Below are 25,039 nucleotides of genomic sequence, written 5' to 3'. Positions count from 1 at the left end.
GTATATTGCCTTCAGTTAGGTCAAAAACCAAAAGTTTTTTAAAAATGCACACATACCAAAAAACCCCACATTAGTTTTAACACTAAGTTACTCAGTTCTATTGGAATCTGTATTTTAGAACTGAGCAGGACCTTAAAACTCACCTATTCTACATGCTCATTTTGGAAACAAGGACGAAGAACCAGTCTAAGTGACTTATTTAAGGTCATGCAGTCAGTTAGAAGCAAAGCTCGCACTAGAGTACAGACCTTCTGACTATTAAGTTAATTATATTCTCCATACTACCTCAAACTGCCTACTCTCTGGGAAACTGCCTGTTAGGATTTTTTAACACACTCATCAACCTAGAAAGTTTCTGTCTTATGCAAACAGGCCCCTTTCCTTCCTTGTCCTTCTTCTCCAAGGTTCCTAAAGGGGCAGAAAGACCATTATTTCCCATATGCTCTACAGAGCTCCAGTGCTTTTTAGTCATTCAGAGCACATCTCCACAGAGTTGCAAGACTGAAAAGCCAAATCTCCAGATCCTTTACTTTCTGTATGATCCTCAGAAGCATGGAGAGACCAAGGGAACAATAAGCCATAGGATAAAGAGGATGGAGAGAGGGAGGAACATGAATTATAGGATAGAGGAAAATGGGCAAAAAATAGAAAATAAAAGACGCAGAGGAAACTTGTTACTTCCTCTGTCTGGGAAAGAAAGTGATAGAAACATTAGTTATTAATTGTCTCCTTTACCTCTCCCTTGAACACTGTGCAACCTGCAGATGTGGAAAAAGACCAAGTGAAGTTGTTACTTGATATCCTGAAAATGTCAGAAACTCAAAGATAAGGAAGAGAGAATGTACTGGAAAGGTATTTATAAAGGTTCATGAAAATCAGACTGGGCTGAGAAGGGAGAGGAAAAGGGGGATAAATTAGGTGAAAGAAGATGGAAAAGTTGGTAGAACCATTAATCAGACAGTATATGCAAGAAGAGAAATTTATTTAGGAAGAAAGATGGAACACTCTGAGAAATGTTAGTAGGCAACTGAAAACATGAGCCTGGAGGCCAGCAGTCAAAGTAGAAATAGTGGCTGAAAATTTGGGAATGTGTAGAATGAACCAGACTCTATAGGGTTAAAAAAAAGGGTGGTGGTAGGGGGGTGAGGGTAGGCCAGTAAAAGGGTCTTTGAGTCTGTAATAACTGCTGCTTTAACCATTTTTCTAAGGAGAATGTATTCTTTCCTTAACAGGGCAGGGTAAATACTACGTGAAAGCAGGGGAAAGAGTACTGGTAGCATTCATCCCATATGATACCTTTCAGCTATCTCTCACTTCCTCCTGTCCTTACCTCTGCTTCCCTCCAATCTTCTCTGGGTTGTTTCTCTCCCCACTATCTCCTCAAAGTTCATGCTACACTCTCAGCAGACAAGAACAGTAATTTACTAAGCTGTAGTAGGTATTTGATGCTTCTCATGAACCCTATGAAGGTAAGTTGCAAACTAAACTGCAGTGGCAAAAGAAAAATGCTAAATGTAAGTATTACTCTCAGAGTTTACAAACAAAGGCAGCCTGCCAGTAGCTGGTAATGAAAGCACTTGCAAGAATATCAGTGGAGTGGGACAGCAAAAGCAGCCCAGTGATAGTCAATAATGGAAGCCCATTTAGGGACAATATTAGAGAAAAGTACCAGGTGCAGCCTGGCAGGGTTAGAAGTTGATCTATATAAAGGTGACTAATGGAATAAGTAAACATATTGAGGATAATGGGAATCAGATTTTTCTCACTGACACAGAAAGAAGATATAAATATAAAAAGAAGAGATAGAATGAACCCCGCAGGATTGTATTTGAATTGGAGCTATCAATGCAAATTGATGGTGTATAATATACCTGGATAGCTATAGAAATAAATGTAATTGTAAAGGACCAAATACACATTTTCTAGCTGTGCTCACTGAAAAGGACTGGGGTTAACAACACCCCAATCGCAACAAGTGTATCTTGAACTCAGATTTTGGTTTCTATATACTACTCTTCTTGAAACAATAGTTGATTCTAGGCTGGGACAGAGGAAATACAAGTTGAACCCAAAACATTTTGTTGTGCCAGAAAGTAAGGAAATGCTCAAAGACTGATACAGATATGTCGGATAGCAAGGTTAATTGCTCAAAGGGGTTCCATGGCCAAAATTAGGTTGATCTGATCATCAAAATAAATGACAATAAAAAATTGAATAAAATAGAAATATATGAGTAAATAAATAAAGGAAAACTTCTCCTTAAAGCAGAATGCCGACTAATAAATGTAGAAGGAATGATGGAGTTAGAAAAATAACCACTTGGGAATCATAACAATAATTAGGGCAAGAATAATCTATAGATGCTAAAGCTAGAAGGTGAAAGCAGGATAATAAGTGGGTCACGACCAGGCCTCCATATCCACAGGTTCCATATTTGTGGATTCAACCAACCTCAAATTGAAAATGCAGTTAGGCTTACTATGCTTGCACCTGTACTGAACATGTACAGACGTATTTTTCTTGTCATTATTCCCTAAGCAATACAGTATAATAATGATTTACATAACATTTATACCATTATTAGGTATTAAAAGAGGATTTAAAGTAAATGAGAGGATATGCATGTGTTATATGCAAATATTATACCATTTATACACGAGACTTGAGCATCCTCAGAGGTTGGTATCCTGGGTGGGGGGGTGGTTGGGAGTGGTGGTGGGTGGAGGTATCCCAGAACCAATCTCCCATGGATACCAAGAAACAACTGTGGTTTTGTTTTGTTTTGTTTTTAAGAGAGACAGGGTCTCACTCTGTCTCCCAAGCTGGAGTGTAAATGGTAGGAGAGCTAAATTCCAATTATTGCAGGTAAAGAGGGTCAAAAACGTGGTTGCTCCAGGCAGGTTTAGTTTTACCACTGATTGCTATATGACTCATGTTGGCATTAATAAACAAAAGTAACTACCTCAAAGGGACAGTATTGGTAAAATTAATTTATTAAAAGGAACACAGGTTACTGAGACTTAGATGTTTAAATAATTCCTCCTGTTGCCTTGTTTTAGGGAATAAAAATACAGTAAAGGCAGTGGGGATGAGAGACTTATTTAAAAAACAAATATTGTAAAATTCTACTTACATTTTTAAAAGGGAAGTTAATTCTATTTTGTCAACTTCAAAACATGCACAAAAATAAACAGAATGCAAGATAAAAAGCATTTTGATTTTAAAATAAACATATATACTGAAATCACCATTCCTCAGCAAAAATGGAAAGCAGAAAGAAGCTGATATTAGGAATTAAAGTATTACCGTATAGGAAGAAATTATACTTTTTAGTATTACACACACACACACACACACACACACACACAGACACACAAATCTACCTTCTGATATTTACAATTCATGCATGTAATATTCATTTCATAAAACCAGAGTTAATGCTATTTTCTTAGATCAACCCAAACACCATGAATCACAGGCACCTGGACAGCAAGGCTAGTAGTTTCTTGAAAACAGGAGACATATATCTCTATACACGCTTTTATTTATTCCATGATAGAAGCAGTATTTCCTGGACATGCACAGTGCACCCTTAGCAACACCCTTGGCAAGGAAAAAACCCTAGAAGCTTGGAGCGGTTGAAAAGAACTCTGGCCCGAGAGTGGTGGCCTCCCGGCTCTGCTGTTATTAGTGACTGCAGTGTTATGAAGAATAAATTAAGATGAAATCAGTGAAAATGTTTTTTTGTAAATTGCAAATATTGTAGTAATTTATTACCTTACTCCTAGATTTTGAAAAGCTTTTTACCAAATTGAGCATAAAAATAATGAGAAAACAAGCCGGGCATGGTGGCTCATGCCTGTAATCCTAGCACTCTGGGAGGACGAGGTGGGCGGATCGTGAGGTCAAGAGATTGAGACCATCCTGGCCAACATGGTGAAACCCCTTCTCTACTAAAAAATACAAAAATTAGCTGGGCGTGGGACCTGTAGTCCCAGCTACTTGGGAGGCTGAGGCAGAAGAATCACTTGAACCCGGGAGGCGGAGGTTGCAGTGAGCCGAGATTGCACCACTGCACTCCAGCCTGGCAACAGAGTGAGACGCCATCTCAAAAACAATAAAAAATAAAAAATAATAATGGCCAGGAGCGGTGACTCACGCCTGTAATCCCAGCACTTTGGGAGGCCAAAGCAGGAGGATCACGAAGTCAAGGATCAAGACCATCCCAGCCAACACGGTGAAACCCCACCTCTACTAAAAACACAAAAATGAGCTGGGCATGGTGGTGCGTGCCTGTAGTCCCAGCTACTCGGGAGGCTGAGGGAGAAGAATCACTTGAACCCGGGAGGCGGAGGTTGCAGTGAGCCGAGATCGTGCCACTGCACTCCAGCCTGGCAACAGAGCGAGACTCCATCCTCCACCCCAAAAAAACTAATAATAATAATAACAATAATAATGAGGAAACAGCTTATATTTAGAAGACAGCTCAGTCAGAATCTCAGTTTAATGTGGATCCGATATAACTCTAGCACAAACCAAGGAAAGCTGTGATTTAATACTACCAGAAAATGTCAAATTTCTGGTAGGTTTTTCAGAATATTGAAAATTGATTACAGACTTTCATTTCCCATTTTGAGAATCCCTAAGATTCTGAGGGATGTTAGAGACAACAAAACTGTGATTTTCAGTATCTTTTCTGACTCTATCATTCCATGATTCTCTGAGAAAAAAAATCTCAGATTTAATTCTGGTCTGGGTGTTAAAGAAGCTTGTAGGGACAACTAGGGGCTTTTCCTAGGAATATCTTTCCAAGCTGAGGGGGAAGGACCTCGAAGAAGGCCCAGCAATCCAGACTTAGTCATTCAGCCAGTCAGTGAACCATCATAAGGTTGCCGCTCTCCTCCTCCACTGTGCCTTAGCTGCTCACTCTCCTATTCTTAGCTTCTTGAGTTTAGCTTAGTTTCTATGACCTTATCAGATTTCTGAGAACTACTCTTCTTGTAAAAATATTGCATATCCAACTCCTTGTTTAAATTCACTTCAAGACCCAATCGAAATGTGAAGCCTTCCTGACTCTCCTTGGCAGAGATCATTGTACCCTCCTTTGTTCTCCTAGGATATTTTGTTTGCATTTCTAACACTGTATTTCAGTGGGTTTATATGTGATTTTCCCCCACTAGCTTATGAGCTTCAGCATTGTACTCCCAGCATGTGACTCAATGCCTGGCTTAGGATGGTACTTATTAGATATTTCTTTTTTTTTTCCTTTTTTTTTTTTTTTTGAGACAGAGTCCAGCTCTGTCGCCCAGGCTGGAGTGCAGTGGTGCCATCTCAGCTCACTGCAACCTCTGCCACCCAGGTTCAAGTGATTCTCCTGCCTCAGCCTCTCAAGTAGCTGGGATTACAGGCACGTGCCACTATGCCTGGCTAATTTTTTTGTATTTTAATTTGACCTGGTGATTTAGAGACAGATAATCAGAATAAAACCAGATCACATGTTAACTAATATGCCTGACTGATCTACCTTTAAGATTCCTGTCACTTTTAGCCTTAGTATTTACTGTTTTTAACACTAAAGTGAAAGTTAAAGATTTAATAAAGCTGGGTGTAGTGGCTCACACCTGTAATCTCAACACTTTGGGAGGTTAAGGTGGGAGAATTGCTTGAGCCCACGAGTTTGAGACCAGCCTTGGCAACATAGTGAGAGCTGTAATTCCTGTTTGCTGTTTTTCAGTGATATTGTCACGGTGAAATGAATCTTAGAGGACATGAAAGAAAACTTAGGATCCATGTGACTTCTGAAGTAAGTACTATGCTGAACGACACACAATCAAGATGTAATTCATCCTATTCAATCTCTTTAATAGAAACTATAATTACATTAATTAAAAATTAATTGAAATTAAAGTACTAAATCCTTAGGAAATATAATTGATTTCTATCTTTTTTTTTTTTTTTTTCAGACAGAGTCTCGCTCTGTCACCCAGGCTGGAATGCAGTGGCACAATCTTGACTCACTACAACCTCCATTGCCTGGGTTCAAGCAATTCTCCTGCCCTAGCCTCTCAAATAGCTGGGATTATAGGCACCCACTATCACGCCCAGCTAATTTTTGTATTTTTAGTACAGGTGGGGTTTCACCATGTTGGCCAGACTGGTCTTGAACTCCTGACCTCAGGTGATCCACCCGCCTTGGCCTCATAAAGTGCTGGGATTACAGGCATGAGCCACCGTGCCCAGCCTCTATCTCTTTTTAAATTGACATTTTCTTAGACTTTGTTTTCTCAGGTTCATAAAGGTTTATTAAAGTAATTCCCAATTTTTCAAATGAAAAATACTATGTCTTGTTTCAAAAATAATAGTTTTATCTTGAGAATAAAATGTACTTAGAGATGACAAACAGTACCTTTCCAACTTATAAATACAGGGTTTTAAAATAGTGGTTCTCTTAGCTGGGCATGGTGGCAAATGCCTATAGTCCCAGCTACTTGAGAGTCTGAAGTGGGAGAATCACCTGAGCCTGGGAGGTTGAGGCTTCAGGGAGCCATGATCACGCCACTGCGCTCCACCAAGGACTACAGCAGTGAGACCCTGTCTCAAAAAAAAAAAAAAAAAAAAAAAAAAAAAAAAAAAAAAAGGTGGTTCTCTCAGTGTGCAGTGAGATAGGTTAAAAATATATATATATACAAAAATAGAATAGTGGTTCTCAACCTAACATCTAGAAAACCATCAACATACCATACACAAAGCTTAGGTATCTGTGTGGTTATTAATTTATTTTCCTATCAGTTATGTTAACAGAGATAACTTAACGGAAGTATCCAGCTTTTCAATTTATCACCAGAAACAATTTTGTTAAGTCTTAGTTGATAAGTTGATAAGTGCTTAGTTGATAAGTGCTTAGTTTAAGCACTTCCTGTCTTAACAAAGCCTGAAAGAAGAAAATATCATCAAGATCTCTGAACTCAGCTTAGGACTTCTAAAATTAACACTTCTCTTAAGATCTACTTGTACCTAATAAAAGTCTCATTCATATGCTAGCAAACCAGCCCCAAAATGAGATAAACACAGTACATCTTTTAAAATATTTAGATGTACAGCTGTCATGATTAAAGAGAATAAATCCAGAGTGAGTTCGCCACTATAATGGACAGCCACTGCAATGGCAGTCATGATCATGGTCATGCTGCTGCCCAACAGGAGGAATATTTAAGTCTCTATCTCATTTGATAAGAGAAACATAGTAAACTTCCAAAGGTATCAACCCTGCTAGTTTTAGGGGGACTCTGAATACTACACATAATATCAGTTGTAGACAACCAAAACAAAAGAATGATTCCCAAAAAGTGAAATATATCCATTACGCTATTTATAACTGCTTATCTGGAAATGCTCAAGAAACTGACTTTGCAGTGACTAAATTGTTGCATGCCAAAGTTAGAAAGGAGAGCTATATTACATCCAAGTTAGTTATGTGCAAAACATTTTTTTTAAAAGACTAAAGAAGAGAGAGATATAGACAGAATTCAACCCAAGTTTAAAAACGAAAACAAAACATATTGTCCCTGGAGGAAGAATAGGTGATTGGAATAGAAAGGATTTTCACTTAATGCCATGTTACTGTAAACTATTAAAATCTGGAAAACTTTCCCCAAAATTACAATCAACGAAAATATGCCCTGGATATAACTGCTTAGTTCTGTAATGCATGATAAACTTTATCCTAAGAGCACAATCACAAATTGATGAAATATGGTATTAGTGGAGTTAACAAAGTGACAGAATAGTTATTTGCAATATCCCTTTTCTTGATTAAGTACCTTTCATCAGTTACACTCAATATTTTGATCATAGCCTTTTAACTTTTTTCACATTTATTATAGGTATATATAAACTAGTAATACAACCCTTAAGTGTTCTGAATATTCAAAATAATAATAATAATAATACAAGCTTGAGTTAGGTTTTTTTTAATGTTTGCTGTAATTATATTTTCCTATTTGGTAAGTCTTCATTGATGGTACAACTATACAAACTATACAAGAAGCCATTTTTGTATAGTTGTATGCAAAAAGCCATTTTTGTATAGTTGTATGCAAAAAGCCATTTTTGTATAGTTGTATGCAAAAAGCCATTTTTGTATAGTTGTATGCAAAAAGCCATTTTTGTATAGTACACAAATGCTCATGGTACATTGTACAAAAGTAGAATCACATACTATAATATACATTTTATTCACTTAAGTAACAATGCCTATATGTTTTATTTCAGATAATTTTGGATAATTGAGGCAAGAACTTAGAAGAAAAAAATTATACAATTCACATGACATTTTAATACAGCCAATTTTGACCCAAAACGGTGATAAAAATAAATTAACCAATTAACACAAGTAAAATAGTACTTCAGAAATATAAAAGAAACCAAAATCAAGAAATCCTGGCCGGGTTCGGTGGCTCACACCTGTAATCACAGCACTTTAGGAGGCCGAGGTCTGGCCAATATGGTAAAACCCCATCTCTACTAAAAATACAAAAAATTAGCCAGGTGTGGTGGCACGTGCCTGTAAGCCCAGCTACTCGGGTGGCTGAGGCAGGAGAATCACTTGAACCCAGAAGGTAGAGGATGCAGTGAGCCGAGATCGTGCCACTGCACTCCAGCCTGGGCAACAGAGCCAGACTCTGTCCCAAAAAAAAAAGGAAATCCTAGCTAAATATGCTTTGATATATTCATTCTCGTATAGATGTATGTACACATGAGCCAAATAAAGTTTACAGTGTCTATTTTTCCATTATCTATACTATTATAATTTATCAAAACAAAATCCATAATGAGGCTGTCACATTTAAAGTAATTAATATTCATTACCTGAGACTGAAGTGCCAGAAAAAGGATAGTGCCATCTCTATGCCATATAAAACCTTAAATAAATACAAACCCTGATAAAAAGAAAGCAGCATGCCAGAGATCTCTGAAGACAGTGCCAACGCTGTGAGAGGTGCTTGTACCGTGGTTCTGAACTGCTCCCTCTTGTGTGTTATCTGTGGTACTAGAACCATCTCCTTCCCTATGTACTTCCAAATGGGCTGCTTTTCTTAATTTCCTTCATCAGAAGAGATTAAGAATGGAAGGCAGCTTTAATATTTTAATAACCACTTTCTCAGTAGTACAATCAAAATTTTGGAAAACATAAACACAGGAACTTTACTTAACACATAATAAAATTTAGATTTACTAGATAAAATTTAATCCAAATATCATGATGCATATTCAAGACCAATTTCTAGAAATGTTAAGGTATTGGTCCTTGCTTATAGTGGCAGGTCAGTGGACAGAAGATTGAAAGGATTGCATTGGATGGATATTTACAAAAGCATTTCTTCCCTATTTGAATGCCACTTATCTGCAGATGAAGAAAGAAGAAAATTTAGATTGGAGAGAATTATAATCTAATTTATGGACATTGCTATTTATCTAATGTATTATCTTTTAAAAATGAGATGGGCTTAAATCTCAGCACCAAAAAACTACAAATGTCACAATCTCTTAGCAATGATATTCAAAAGAGGACCTGCTCCAAAAGAACCTTAAAACAAACTCCAGTGTGCTGATTGGCCAGTGAGATATGCTATATTTACTGAATCAAGGGTAATATTAAACAGATTCAAACAGAATTTAGTGGCCAGGTGTGGTGGCTCATGCCTGTAATCCCAGCACTTTGGGAGGCCGAGGTGGGAGGATCGCTTGAGCCCAGGAATTCAAGACTAGCCTGGACAATAAAGTGAGACCCCATCTCTACAAAAAATAAAAAATAAAAAAACTAGTCAGGTGGGGTGGCATACACCTGTATTCCCAGCTACTCAGGAGGATGAGGTGAGAGGATCACTTGAGCCCAGGAGGTCCAGGCCACAGTGAGCTGGACTCCAGCCTGGGTGACGGAGACAGTGAGACCCTGTCTCAAAAAAAATACAAAAAAAAAAACAAAACAAAACCAAATAGCATTTAGTAAATACAGTTTAGCTGAAATTTTTTCTAGGTTTTTGTTTTTGCCAAAGCATCTTCTATTAGAAATACAAGATTTTTATAAGTAGTAGGAATTATTAACAATCTAGCTAACATATATTGTCTACATTGATATTAGGTGACTATAAATGAGCTTCAAGGAAAAAAAAAAAAAAGAAACAAAAACACAGGCATGTGGTCTTAAAATGGCCTTGAAGCAAATATGGAAACTAAATCATCTGGTAATTGATTCTGAAGCTCAGTGTTTTTTTGAAACAGCAACCTTACAAGATAAGATTTTAGTCTATGAAGGTAAGAGGAGTCAAGAACAATCGTAGATTCAAATTACATAAATGTACAAAAAGATTACTTTTTAAAAAACAGTACCTTCTTCTTTTACCCCCTGTACTTAGAGGAGGTTTGGGTGTTCTTGTGGAAACAATCTGGCAATGCACAGTTCCCAGGAGCAGCATCAGCCATATCGGCCCAATCACCTCTGTCAGAGGTATGCTGTGTGGGCTAGAAGTGGAGCAGAATAATACTATTGCAGCAACTATAAAAAGGGAAAGAAAATATGCTTAATTATAGATCTGATAGTCACCTCTTCAAAACTTTTAAAATTGTTTTTACATTATTTTTTGCCAAAATATTTTTCTAAATTTAAATGAGTTTAAAATATTACTATAGAGACAAGCTCTCTCAGACTGTTTTATTGTCTGCCGCAGCCTAACCATGGTATTTAGTAATAAACTCTCGGAACAAGACAACACCCAACATAGTCTCTAAACTACACCTCAACGCTGCAACGTAAATTAGATGCATATGAATCAAAGGACATTTCTAAGTAACATCACAGACAATCAAAGAACTACCCTAACCTCAAGTACATTATTTCTTTGTTTTACAAATAAAGAAATCTTATGATAAGTGTATCATACAGATACAAAGAGCTTCTTATTAATAGAGGTCTATCTCCTTAGAATTAATAACAAATTTACTTAGGCATAGTTTCCAGAGAAACCACTAAACATCCATCAATGCTAACTATTACTACATGAAGGGAAATCTTGTTTTGCCTACACAGCATCCCTTAGACTTTCTGGACATAAACTCTCTTTACCTTCGTCTCCCTCCTTTATCCATCAATCATACATTCTTATTTCTCCCACCTCAGGGATAGACATGTAACCTAGGCTTGTCACAGTCTTAGTAAGTCTGAATACAAAAGCTTATAAAAAGATGGGCAAGTGACCTAAGCAGGGCCAATCAGTCTTTTTCAGGGACTAATATAGGTGCTTCAAGACCTTTCTCCTAGATCACAAACACTAAAGACTATGAAAAAATGAAATTGCTAGGGGCCACCTTAGCCACCACCTAGAAAGAGCCAACCTAAGAATGTGACCAGCAAGACCAAAGTCTACAGCAAAAAGAAGTGAAGATATTATCCGAGCCTCTCAATCCAGCCATGCCTGAATCCAGGGCCAAGGAGTACCTAAAATAAAATGTAAATATTATAAGATTTTTGGTCATTTTGTTAAGTGTTATCACTGTAATGTGGTTATATGTGCTTATTTTGAAGAGACATATATTGATGTATTCAGGGGTAAAATGTCTCAATGTATATAATTTACTTAACAAAACAGATTAAGTAAACATCCCAAAACGTTAATCATTGTTAAAGAGATGGGTATTTAGGTGTTTAGGGTGACCATGTAATTTACCATCTAAACCAAGACACTTTTGAGAGTGAAAGGCACCAGGACAACATGAGTAAACTTGGGTTGGACAATCCCAGGCAAACTGGGACATATGGCCACCCCAGCTGTTGTACTATTCTATCTAGTTTCCTGGGTTTTTTTTGTTTAGCTTTTATGATAAACAGTAAAATTAACGACCAAAAAAACCAACTTCTTGTAAAAGCTAGTTTGCATTTAGTTTCTGCCACCTGCAACTCAAAGAATCCTGGTCCAATATACCAAACGCTTAAAACATCACTTAATCTGCTAATACACTTTAATATACTTAAAGAGTATCATGAAAACAAATTTCAGCTGTATGTAACTGTAAGTAATAAGAAAAAAAAATTTAAAATGCCAATCATCGTTATGAATTACCCTGGAATTTAACCCAAATTCTCTAGTTATTCCATAACAGTCTGGAATTTTGAAAAGCAGAGAGTCTTTTTTGTTTTTAATATGAATTCTAATGTGACTTTTATCAAGTTCTTTAATGTTTTTGAGCCTTGGTTTAATCTTCTGTGTATCTACATAGTACACAGCATACATACAGTACATAGGCACTATAATAGGTTTTAGGTGAGGTAGTGCATGTAAAACATTTTGAAAAGCTGCTTATACACCGTAAATGTATACTTAACATTGGTGAATAGTAGCTTTTTTTTTTTTTTTTTTAGCTACCATTAACTCTTAATTTTTCTTGAGACGGAGTCTCGCTCTGCTGCCCAGGCTGGAGTGCAGTGGTGCGATCTCGGCTCACTGCAAGCTCCGCCTCCCAGGTTCACGCCATTCTCCTGCCTCAGGCTCCCGAGTGGCTGGGACTACAGGTGCCCGCCACCACGCTTGGCTAATTTTTTGTATTTTTAGTAGAGATGGGGTTTCACCGTGCCATTAACTCTAATTTTAAAAGGGGCAAGTACAAATGCTTACTTAAGAAGTTCAGAGTTTCAGACACAAAGGAGAACATCTTTTAAAACTTTAGGTTTTATATAACCTGTTGCTGGTTATTTATCTGAACTCTTTCAGCCCTGTGATCACCATTCTCTGTAATCCTAGGGCTGGGAGCATACAAATTATATTTTCTGTATATCTTAACAGGAAGTTATTACATACTGTGAAATTCTGACGACAAGGCATTAGAAAAAGGAGGAGGAGCCACTTTCTTCCTCTCTTTTTCCTTCTTTCTTCTGACTGTATCTTTCTAAAAGTGATCATGTCCCTCCCATGGTCTCAGTTCCTGAGACAGTAGCTTTTCCTCCGTAACTCTGGTATCACTTCCCCTTTTTGTTTTCCTCTCAAGTTAAGGTTTAGAAGATATATGGAGAGCCGGGCGTGGTAGCTCCTGCCTGTAATCTCAGCACTTTGGAAGGCTGAGGCCGGCAGAACACGAGGTCAGGAGTTTGAGACCAGCCTGGCCAATATGGAGAAACCCCATCTCTGCTAAAAATACAAAAATTAGCTGGGCTTAGTGGCACACGCCTGTAGTCCCAGCTACTCGGGAGGCTGAGGCAGAAGAACTGCTTGAACCTGGGAGGTGGAGGTTGCAGTGAACCGAGATCATGCTGAGATCATGCACTCCAGCCTGGGCAACAGAGCGAGACTCCGTCTCAAAAAAAAAGAAGATATATAGAGAAAACATTCACTTATTTTATATAATGCTGAGTTATACTTTTTGAGCATTTAATGAAGTCCTACGAACTAGACAGTGCTGCTAGAGATTTCTGCTGGAGATCAACTAAGACAGAATGTTGTTGGGCACAAATATTTCAAAGGCAGGACTTCACGTACTGGGCAAGGGGAACTCTAGGAGTAGGCTGGATGCAATGGCTCACACCTGTAATCCCAGCACTCTGACAGGCTGAGGCGGGTGGACTGCTTTAGCCCAGGAGTTTGACACCAGCCTGGGCAACAAGGCGAAACCCTGCCTCTACAAAAAAATTTCAAAAATTAGCTGGGAATGGCAGTGCATGCCTGTAGTTCCAGCTATGGAGGTAGAGGTAGGAGGAATGATTGAGCCTTGGAGGTTGAGGCTGCAGCGAGCCATGACTGCACCACCGCACTCCAGCCTGAGCAACAGAGAGAAACTGTGGTGGCTGACAACTGTAATCCCAGCACTTTAAGAGGGTGAAGTGGGAGGATTACTTGAGGTCAAGAGTTCAAGACCAGCCTGGGCAACATATTAAGACCCCATCTCTACAAAAATAAAAATAAAAATAATTAGCTGGGCATGGTGGCGTGCTCCTATAGTCCTAGCTAGTTGGGAGGCTGAGGCTGGAGGATTGTTTGTGCCCGGGAGTTCAAGGCTGCAGTGAACTATGATCGCACCACTGCACTCCAGCCTGAGCAACAAAGCAAAACCCTATGTCTAAAAAACAGAATAGAATAGAATGGAATATTATCTTCCATTTTTAGGACTGTTAATCTTTAAGATTCAGTGGCAATTAGGCAATGCAGAAAAAAAGACAAGACACAGTCTCCGCTCCCTATCCCTTGGTTTAGACCAGGGGTATCCAATCTTTTGGCTTCCCTGGGCCTCACTGCAAGAAGAAATGTCTGGGGCCACACATAAAATACACTAACACTAACGATAGCTGATAAGCTTTAAAAAAATTAAAAAAAATCTCATAAGGTTTTAAGAAAGTTTATGAACCTGGGTTGGGCCACATTCAAAGCCATCCTGGGCTGCATGTGGCCTATGGGCCATGGGTTGGACAAGCTTGGTTTACAGGAAAGAAGAGACATATAAAGAAACAATGAAAATACCTGTTATGAACTAAACTGTGCTCCTTTCATCCTCCCCACACAAATGCATATGCTGAATGAAGCCCTAACCCACAATGTGACTACGTTTGGAGACAGGGCCTATAAGGAGGTAGTAAAGGTTAAACAGATTCGTAAGTGTAAGGCCTTAAACTGATACGACTCTTGTCTTTATATGAAGAGGCAGAGATACCAGAGTACTCTCTCTCTCCACTCACACACACAAGAAAGGCCCTGTGAAGACACAGCAAGAAGGTGGACATCTACAAGTCAGAGAAGCCTCATCAGACACCAACTCTGACATTGCCTCACTCTTGCACTTCCACCCCTCAGAATGGTGAAAAAATAAATTTTGTTGTATAAGCCACCCAATCTGTGGTATTTTGTTATGGTAGCCCAAGGTGACTAATATAACACTTATGATTAACTGCTATAATATACATAAGAAAGATATGTAACTACATTGGGGAGTTACGAAAGGATTCTTCAAGAAAGTGATGTCTGATGTCTAATCTAAATTTGAGAGAACATAGAGGATTGACTAAACAAAAGGGAAAAGGGCTACCCCACGCAAAGGGAGTTGCATGTCCAAAGACACATAGGCAAAAAAGCATGGAATGTTTAAGAAACAGCAAAGAGCTAGTTTAGCCTGGTTAAGGTGGGATAGAAATTCAAGGAGGGATTTGAAAACTCAGATTGCATCTTGAAAGCAATGATAACTAGTGAAGAAATTTAGATCTTAAGCAGCTGGTTTGAATTTGTCATTTAATAGGTAAATGGACAGAAAGTAGAAGATGATATGAGGTTTCCTGGCAGTAATCTTGGCAAGAAACTAGGCAACCAAGACATGCAGAAATGGGGATAGAGCTGAGAATACATAGCTGAGATACTTAAAAAGCATGTAATTGAAATAAAAAAAACTATACATAGTTATATAAAACCAAATCTGACTGCATTTGATTCTTTCTGCCTTTCAAGAAGTGCGAACAAGAATGAGGACATAACTCAGAGCACTGCAGCACCCTGCTTTTCCACAGGGTGCTGCAATGGAGACAGACATACAGTGGTTTTCAAAGGTAATGGCAGCCTGCCGAGGGTCATCAGAGTCACATCATGACTTTGGCACTAGCTGTGTGACTTTAAGAAGGTTAAGTCATTTCTCTAACTAAGCTTTACTAGGAGAATGTTTAGTGTTCATCATAAGGGCCTTATGATTAAACTTGGATTCTGAACTTAAAAATATCTCATTTAATGCCCAATCTAACCCGTGTTCCCTATTTAACTTAGAGGAACCAGTAAGTAAATTTCAGACACAATATAATTATACAATGTCAGTGAACTTTTAGTTACATTGGAAACTTGTTTGTCGTGGAATACTAGAAAGCAGCAATATCTTAAAAAGCACAATGCACTGTGATGTACAATCAATGGTACTGAATTACTCTAATAAACTATTGCAATTTCTGACCACATTCAAATAAAGTTTTCTCATCTAGGTAAGCCAGAAAACCTTTGAAGATAACTATACTTAAATTAAGCTCTCTTAAGTCCTTTTGAGAAGAAAACAAGAAAATGATAAAAATTATGATCACTATAACTAGAAAATACTGATAAGCAAATATGATCACTTCAGCAGTAATTATAATAGCAAAAAATAGCAATCAGCTTAACTGCCCAATATTGAAGTAGGACAAGATATTTTCTAGTAACTTAGAAGTTATATTTACAAAGACTTTGATATTATGACATTAGGTAAAAAAAAATGTAGCTGTTCATATAAAATAATCTCAACTATTTAAAAAGTATTATAAATTTAAAGGCAAGATGATGGGTAGTTCTTTTTTTCTTTAGCTTTTTCTACATTTTCCAAATTTCCTGCCATGAAAATATTATTATATCTTTAATCAGAAAACACATACACACATTCTAATAACAACAAACCACAAAATTATCATAGTCCACACCCTTTTATGTATATAAGATGTAACCTGGCTTAGAAGAAACAACTTTATCTAAATAACAGTCTGCAGTTTTTATTATATTTTCATTTATTTAAAAAGTATCTCTTAGAATCTGTTGATAAAACAAATTTAAATAATCATTCAGGATTGTAATCATGGTTTTTTTTTTTAATCACATATTAAAAAGACTGAAAGGACATGAACCAAATGAAAATAACGGCTTTGTTCACGTGATGGAATATGAATAGTTTCTTCTTTAGTTTCTAAATGCTCTACAATGTTATACATGTTGTGTTATATACTGCTGCTAAGACTATGCACTAGAATGTTGTTTTAGGAGGCACCATAAGAGCGGTTAAGTGTGTGGTTCTGGGATCAGAATGCTTAGAATTGAATCTGGGCTCTACCATACTTGATGACTATGTGGCGTTGGGCACTCAGGTCTTTCAGGTCCCACGTCTATAAGCGAAGCATAGTAACAGTCCCTGTACTTCATCAGGTTGATGTGAGAATGAAATGAGAATCTAGAAAGCACCTAGCAGAGTGCACGGTATACAGAATTTTGATAAAGTATAAGGACAGCTCACATCACGGTGGTAAAAGGCACAGAAAAAAGAAACTATACCTATGGCAGGAATAATAAACTTGTATAGGTTGTATTTTTAAAAGACTGGTATGTATGTATGTGTGGAAGATGCATTTTGATGAGGTTTTTTTTCTAATTTTAAAAAATCTTCTCGATTTCTATTTTTCTTTAGCCATCTATAGATTCAAATATTCATAAAATTATACTGAAAAATAACTGCTTTGTTTTCTCAAATATTTTTAATACCAAATCAATTATGTGCCTTTATTAACATACTTATACATCATACTCAGTAGTAGTTAGCATATGTTTAAAACAAAGACTTATTAAACCTAACAATGTAACATTCTGAAAAGTAAAAGCAAAAATCACTTAATTATACCTTGAAGAAGATAAAGGACAAGAAGCCAGAAAAAGATGACCTTTGATGTTACTTGTAACCACCACCGGAAGAAAAAGGGGAAAAATACAACTCGAACAATTCCCTTTCTGGTCAGAGAAGTCCAAGGACTTTCAGGCTTTGCCTTTGCAAATGCAGACCCTGAAAAAAGTAAAATAGGACAACAGAGTATATTTATATATTATTCTTTAATTTCTTTAAAGAAAAAAATTTCAATGTTTGAAAAACATCACCACATAATTTTATTCTGTATTATACTATGAGTGAGAAATGTCCAATTTATAGATACTTTAAATATTTTGAAAAAAACATTTTTTGAAATAACAGAATTTCTCCCACATATTTTATAAATATAGAACAATATTCAAATGTCAGTTCTAGTTAGGAATTACAAATCACCACTTTAATTGTTTTTTGGTTTTGTTTGTTTGTTTGTTTGTTTGTTGAGATAGGATCTCACTCTGCTGCCCAGGGTGGTGTCAAACTCCTGGGTTCAAGAGATCCTTCTGCCTTCAGCTTCCCAAAGTGCTGGGATTATAGGTGTGAGCCATTGTACCTGGTCCCATTCTCTCTTTTTAATACTATTCTTGTCTTCATCAAGGTTCACAATGTTTTTATTTCTAAAAAGATAGACAGACAGATAGATATCTGATATAGTTTGGAATATCAGTCCCCATTCAAATCTGATATTGAATTGTAATCTCCAATGCTGGAGGCAGGGCCTCATGGGAGGTATACGGGCCATAAGGGTGAAGCCCTCATGGCTTGAGGCTGTCCTTGAGATAGTGAGTGAGTTCTCAGGAGATCTGGTGATTTAAAAGTGTGTGGCACCTCCCCACTACCACTCTCTGGCTCCTGCTCTGGCCATGTGATGTGCCTGGTCCCGCTTGCCTTCTGCCATGGGTAAAGCTTCCTACCCCAGAAGCAGGTGCTGGTGCTGTGATTTCTGTACAGCCTGCAGAACCATGAACCAATTAAGCCTCTTTTCTTATAAATTACCCAATCTCAAGTATTTCTTTATAGCAATGCAAAACAGCCTAATACAATATTTAAACCTATTTTGAATTCTGTTTCTTCCAGAACAATGTCTACTTGTATTAAGCATTTATTTATCAGACTCACCTCTTACAAGATCAACATCTATGAGGTCTGGTTTCACATGTGCTGTTTTCTTTGGTTTATTCCTTAGCCCCTATAATATATCAAAAGAAGCATTGGAATTGTATATATACTTAAATCTAGAACAGGAGAAAATCAATTTCTAAAGCTTTCAATTTAAAATAAAATTGTTAATAGTACCAACAAAATGTAACACATTATGCATTTGTTACAAACAGAACACAATTACAGTATTGTAATAAATTTTATTATTGTTCAAAAAGATATATTTAGAGATGTGTGTAACATGCCAGGCCGGTTTATTACCAACAGTAAAATTCTACTACAAATACTATTACTACCAAGCAAATTTAGGTGTACAGCTTTAGGTGTAGAGGGAACTATATTGGCCCCATATTGGCATTTGGAGAGCGTTGAGGCTAGCTAGGGGAGCAGCAGCCCTGAAGGAACCTCAAGGTGTGGTGCTGGAGGCATTATTTCAGAAAGCAGTAAATCACACAGCTGAGGACCAGAAAGGATGCAGACTTCTCAGCAGACGCCAATCAGCTGAGACCCAGGGAGGACAATGCACTACTCAAGGATGATGGTTGCCATTATGTTCACATGTCAACCCCTCATCAGACCATAAATGCCACCTCATCACCTCAAAACTTAGACACCATAACCAGGAAGGGGAGGAGGGAGAGGCAGTTGTCATAAACTGAATTCATTTAAACTTGAAATTATTGAACACTGAGTAAAATTAAGTTTCTGCTATCAGTATACAGAGTGGAGTGGGGGGTGTAGATCAAAACTAGTGAAAAAAAAACCTATAACAAAGTAAATTATTACTTAAGACTAGAATGTTAAGAATTGGAAGAGCTAACAAAAATAAAAATAAAAAAGAGAAAACAAACAAAAAGAACTGCAAGAGCTTAAGCTAAACTCTTCAGGAGCCAATTACTGCGAGATGACACAAGTGTTTAGATGATTTGGTTTTTATTCATTCAATTAAGCAAGTAACTGTGCAGTAAATCCTGTCTTTGGTCCTAATCCAAGTAACAATGACACCCCCCATCAAAGTAAAAATCTGATTAAGTATTCTGTTTGAATCTAAAACAAAGAAGAGAACCATATTTGAGGTCAGAATTAACTGAGGTGTCTAAACCAAAAATGCGCCCTGAAACCAATATGCAATTAATCTTTGAATCCCTTCAAATAGTTCTGGCTGAAGTTGCAAACCACCCAGAGATGCAAAAACAAAAATGAAGGAGACAGGGTAAAAGTTAAAGAAATAGCAATGATAATTTTATATATAGTCGATCCTCATATTCTCAGATTCCATAATTGCAAACACACCTACTTGGTAAAATTTCTTTGTACCCCCAAATCAACGTTCACGGTGCTTTTGCCCTAATTTGCAGACACGCATGGAGTGAAAAAAAAAAAATTGAGTCACCCAACGTGCATGTTCTCAGCTGAGGTCGAACAAGGTGATGCTTTAACCTTCCTGTTTCAGCTCTGATTACTGTAAACAGTGTCCTTTATTTGTTATGTTTTTCACATTTTTGTGCTTTTTGTTGGCAATCCTGTTGTTCAAGATGGCCCTCAAGTATAGTGCTTAAAACAGTGTCTCGTGTTCCTAAGTGCAAGAATGCTGTGATGTGTCTTACAGAGAAAATGTGTTAGATAACCTCTGTTCACCCAGGCACAGTGGCTCACGCCTTTAATCCCAGCACTTTGCGGGGGCCAAGGTGGGCGGATCACTTGAGGCCAGGAGTTTGAGAACAGCCTGGCCAACATGGTGAAACCCCGTCTCTACTAAAAATACAAAAAATTAGCTGGGCATGGTGGCACTCGCCTGTAATCCCAGCAACTTGGGGAGGCTGAAGCAAGGAGAACTGTTTGAACCCAGGGGTTGGAGGTTGCCATAAACCAAGGTCACACCATTGCACTCCAGCCTGGCGACAAAGTAAGACTCTGTCCCAAACAATATAAAATAAAATAAATAAATAAATAAATAAAGATAACCTCTGTTCAGATATGATTTACAGTGCTGTTGGCCATGAATTGTTAATGAATCAAAAATATATATTAAATAAGGTGTCTTTAAACAGAAACACACATAAAACAAGGTACTTCCCCAGGCAGCAATGGTTCAGTATGCACTAATTCAGTGTTCATGGGTGACTTTATAGAACATAGCTACCCCAAATAATGAGTATGGGCTGTATCTGTACATTATTTCTGATTTTAATGTCACTATAAAGCGGCTGATGGATTAGAAATCATTCCCAAGATTTTGCAAATTGGAGAAGCAACTGTAATAATACATATATTTAAACAAAACTTCATTAATAAAGCACTATTTGGATTTAGTATTGTTTATTACAGTAAGATTTTACCTTTATTACTGTAAAAATATTTGAAAACAGTAACACATTTTAATTTACTTGTTTTTTATAAATTGCTTCCCTAACAACTTGAAAGTAACCTTATTGCCAATGTCTTCTGACTAATCTGAATCCTAATTTATTGCTGTATACCTAAAATTTTTATCAAGATTGTTTTAAGAATCAAAAGTCCCTACAGGAGAAACAGTAAGTTGTCTTGATATGTGCAACTACTGTTTTTCAACATGCTTCTTCTAATCGACCTTGTTTATTTGGGGTTCATTTCCAATTTTATATTCTATTAAAATATATTTATTTTGAGCTATATTGTAGAGCCACACCCTAATAGCCAGTTTCAATAAAATTTTCCCTCTAAGGTAGCCTATCAAGATAATTTAAAGGTTTAAAAAGAAAAAAAAAAAAAACAGAAGGCCAGGTAAGGTGGTTCACGCCTGTAATCTCAGCACTTTGAGAGGCTGAGGTGGGCAGGATCACCTGAGGTCAGGAGTTCAAGACCAGCCTAGCCAACATGGTGAAACTCCATCTCTATTAAAAATACAAAAATTAGTCAGGCGTGGTAGCGGGCGCCTGTAATACCAGCTACTTGGGAGGCTGAGGCAGGAGAATCGCTTGAACCTGGGAGGCAGAGGATGCAGTGAGTTGCGATCAAATCTATAATTATTTTATTCACAAAAATAAAAGAAAGCATCAAGATATAACATTCATAACATCTGATTTTAATTAAGTAGCTATTTTACACTGGAAAATTTTCAATTGGCTTGGGGTAAACCACATTCACACAAAGTAGCATAGCTTTCAGTACTATCAAGAACTGTTAAACAGTTTAAATGAACAAATAAAAAATGAAAAGTAACATTTTCTTTAAAAAATGAGATTTTTAAAACTACTAATTTATGCACAAACTAGAAAGTAGAAACAAGCACCACAAATGCAATTAATATCCAATAATAAAAATATTTTATTTATTAAATATAATTTAAACTCTTATAGTATGTTCCTATAGTGAAATGACTCAAACACAGTAGTATAAAGTTTTTTATTTAAAAAAAACTCTCTAAGTACACAGATAATGTTGGGCCAAAAAAAAAAAAAAAAAATGAAATGGGCTGTTTAAGTTTAGAAAGTGCTTCTGTTCAGTTATCTAGACTTCTGTGTATTGTTAATATCTAGACTCCATCAAAGTACATAAACAGTTTCATTTTCTAGAAATCTTGTTTAGTTCCCCCACCCCCTTTTTCTCTGTAATGACTTTATAAGCTTTTTAAGTCTAGTCTTTTAAGAAGCTTTAAAAGTCTAGGAGACAGTAAAACAGGAAAAACTTCCAAATTTACTTTTAAATTTTGGTCACGGTAATCAGAAAAAATCAAAGTTTTTAGTTATAATTTCTAAAATGGTTATGGAAAAATAATTCGCAACTTACAAAAGGTTTTACGCTTTAGCAATATCAACTCTGGGTCTTTAATTGAAAAATAAACATTTCCAAAAAATATATTTTCATGTCTTTGATTTCTCTAGTAGCTGCTCACTGCTTTGACAACTAATGAAAGAATCAATTACATTGGACAAACTCAATACATTTGGTACACTGTTCTCTAAACAACAGGTAGAGTGTTTTTTTCTTAATCAAATATTAACATTAATACACCACAGTTACGTACCTCTCTAACTTCCTTAGAATAAATACGGAATTATTTTACACCATAATTTGCCTCCACTAGAATGTTTAGTAAAAATGAAATGTGCTTTTAGGCTTGTTAACAAATTGATCCTTTTAATTAAAAATAACAAGAGTAGGGAGGATGATAAGTTTATTATTTATGTATGTATGTATTTTTTAGAGACAAAGTCTCACTCTGTTGCCCAGGCTGGAGTGCAGTGGTGTGATCATGGCTCACTACAGCCTCGAACTCCTGGGCTCAAGTGATCCTCCTGGTTCAGCCTCTCAAGTAGGTGGGACTGCAGGTATGTCCCAGCTAATTAAGAAAAATAATTTTTTTTTTAGAGATAGTGTCTCACTTTGTTGCCCAAGCTGGTCTTAACTCCTGGACTAAAGCAATCCTCCCACCTGGGCCTCCTAAAGTGTTGGGATTTCAGGTGTGAGCCAGATAAATTGATTAATGGGTAGTGTGTACATTATTCATGTGATGGATACCCCAAAAGCTCTGACTTGACTGCTACGCAAGCTATGCATGCAACAAAATTGCACATGTACCCCATGACTTTGTACAAACAAAAAGGAAACAATAAAAATCTATAATTCAGTGGTTCTAAGTACATCCACAATATTGTGCAATCATTACCACTATCTAGTTTTAGAAATTTTTTTATCACCCCAAAAGGAAAAAAAAATAATGAGAACAACTTTTCTTTAATTTTGTCTCATTTTTATCTTTATTTTTAAAGACTAGTCAAGTGCAATAGTGGGAAAGAAGGAAAGAGTGAAACAAGGACTTCATCTGATCTATAACTGTCTGTGAACGATCGAGATAACTTGCTACCTTCAGACCTACCAAAAGAGCAAGTTTTTATGTTTTTAATTCTTCAATTACTATTACAAGGTATCATCTTTAAAGGGAGACACACTTCAGAAAGAAGTTGTAGGTCCTAACTTTCCCTAAGATCATCCTGTTAGTAGCACCAAGTAGTAACTAATATAATCCTTCCTCACCCTAACATACATTTAGGATTTAAAAGAGTTCTTTTAAAAAAGAGGAGGTTACATAAGTAATGTAGTAATTTGTGAATACAAATAGTAATTTGTGAATAGCTTCCAAAAACTAAAAAAATTATTTATATATATTTTTTCTGAGGCTTTTAAATTCCAAATGTGTCAACCTGATAACATAACCTCTCAAGGTACTTATATCTCCTGTCTAATGAGTTAAAGGCTTTCTAACTGTCAAAGAGGATAAAAGGTATTATGGCATCTTACTAGACCTCTCTGCTGCTCTTTATTTGCTTGACTATCCCAACTCTTCTTCATACTCTCTCCATACTATTTTCTCATGGATCTCCTACTTCTCTTTCCTTCTTTACTTGCATCTCTTTATTTACCTACCCATTAAATGTTAGTTATTTCCCAATGCTCTGTTCTCAGTCCTTTTATTTCATCATTCAACAGAAATCTACTCATTCCTATAGCTATATCTATATAATGTTTTATATATGTATGTATGTATCACATACAAACACATACCTATACATATTCACACTTTATAAACTGAGAACTCTCAAATGTCCCTCCCAAGTACCAAATAGATATTTCTATAACAGAATTCTAAATGTGCTCTTCTTCCAGTATTTCCTATCATCCTTAGTGCTGCCTGTGTACATTTGTCAAAATATAATCTTCTGCTTAAAATCTTCCAATATCTCCCCTGTTGTTTTCCAGATTATGTCTAAATTCTTTGGCAAGGCATTCAAGCCCCTTCATAATCTGACTTCCATTTTCCTTTCTAGTTTTACTCCTAATGACACTAGTCTCCTTCCTCTATCCAACCTATTATCAAATCAAACTCCTTGGGGAGTCCTGCCTCAATCATGTTTCTTCCATCCTTTACATATATTTCCATCTGCTCTTCATCTGTCTGAAATGTCTTCCTTGAGTTAATGAACCACTTCCTCTATGAAATCTTTCCCAACCTCCCCAGGCTTGTCTCCCCTCTCGCTCTTCTATAGAGTTTTAGACATGCCTCTCTTAAAGGAATTTATCTCATGTGTAATTATGCATCTCCCCTACAAAACTATAATCTATTTTATCTTTCTGTCCCAGGACTTAATCCTATATTTAACGCATACCACAACTTTGTTAAATGTATTAATCCTTCCTCAAAAGTTTAGAGATTATAATTGCCAAATGGGAAAGAATCTTGCTCTTTATTACAAGTGACTAAGTAGTCTAAACATTAACAAATTTTTGGACTGATCTTTAGTAACTATAGACACTGGTTTTCAATCTAATGAAAACTTTTCTATACAAAATAGAAAATGTCAAGTAACTAAGGTAATACTGTCTGTGCCCAGATTAAATTTAGCTCGTGCAAAAACACACTGATTAGTATCTATGCAAATGAAAAAATATA

The 25,039-nt window shown here is 36.7% G+C and overlaps 1 protein-coding gene and 1 long non-coding RNA gene across 25 annotated transcripts in view; one reads left to right on the top strand and one right to left on the bottom strand.

The window, feature by feature from the left end:
* The window catches only part of PHTF2 (putative homeodomain transcription factor 2), a 158,732-nt gene that overhangs the window by 38,157 nt on the left and 95,536 nt on the right, over positions 1–25,039 (bottom strand). For 23 of the 24 annotated variants that reach the window (XM_011516422.4, XM_011516423.4, NM_001127358.2 and 20 more), the window contains 4 exons: positions 18,568–18,637; positions 17,428–17,586; positions 10,390–10,555; positions 8,939–9,103 (listed from right to left, as the gene is read on the bottom strand). In XM_011516422.4, the coding sequence (XP_011514724.1) occupies positions 8,939–9,103; positions 10,390–10,555; positions 17,428–17,586; positions 18,568–18,637 (560 nt within the window). Of the gene's footprint in view, positions 1–8,938; positions 9,104–10,389; positions 10,556–11,391; positions 12,377–17,427; positions 17,587–18,567; positions 18,638–25,039 lie in introns of those variants that run through there. The other variant, XM_011516424.3, reaches the window with a different exon arrangement.
* LOC124901682 (uncharacterized) lies at positions 643–8,344 on the top strand. The gene is made up of 3 exons (XR_007060398.1): positions 643–852; positions 5,735–5,803; positions 8,272–8,344. It is a non-coding gene; the product is annotated as an uncharacterized LOC124901682 (long non-coding RNA).

This window comes from Homo sapiens, chromosome 7 (genome assembly GCF_000001405.40).
Source record: "Homo sapiens chromosome 7, GRCh38.p14 Primary Assembly".
NCBI lineage: Eukaryota > Metazoa > Chordata > Mammalia > Primates > Hominidae > Homo > Homo sapiens.
This window is presented reverse-complemented; position numbering and strand designations above follow the sequence as displayed.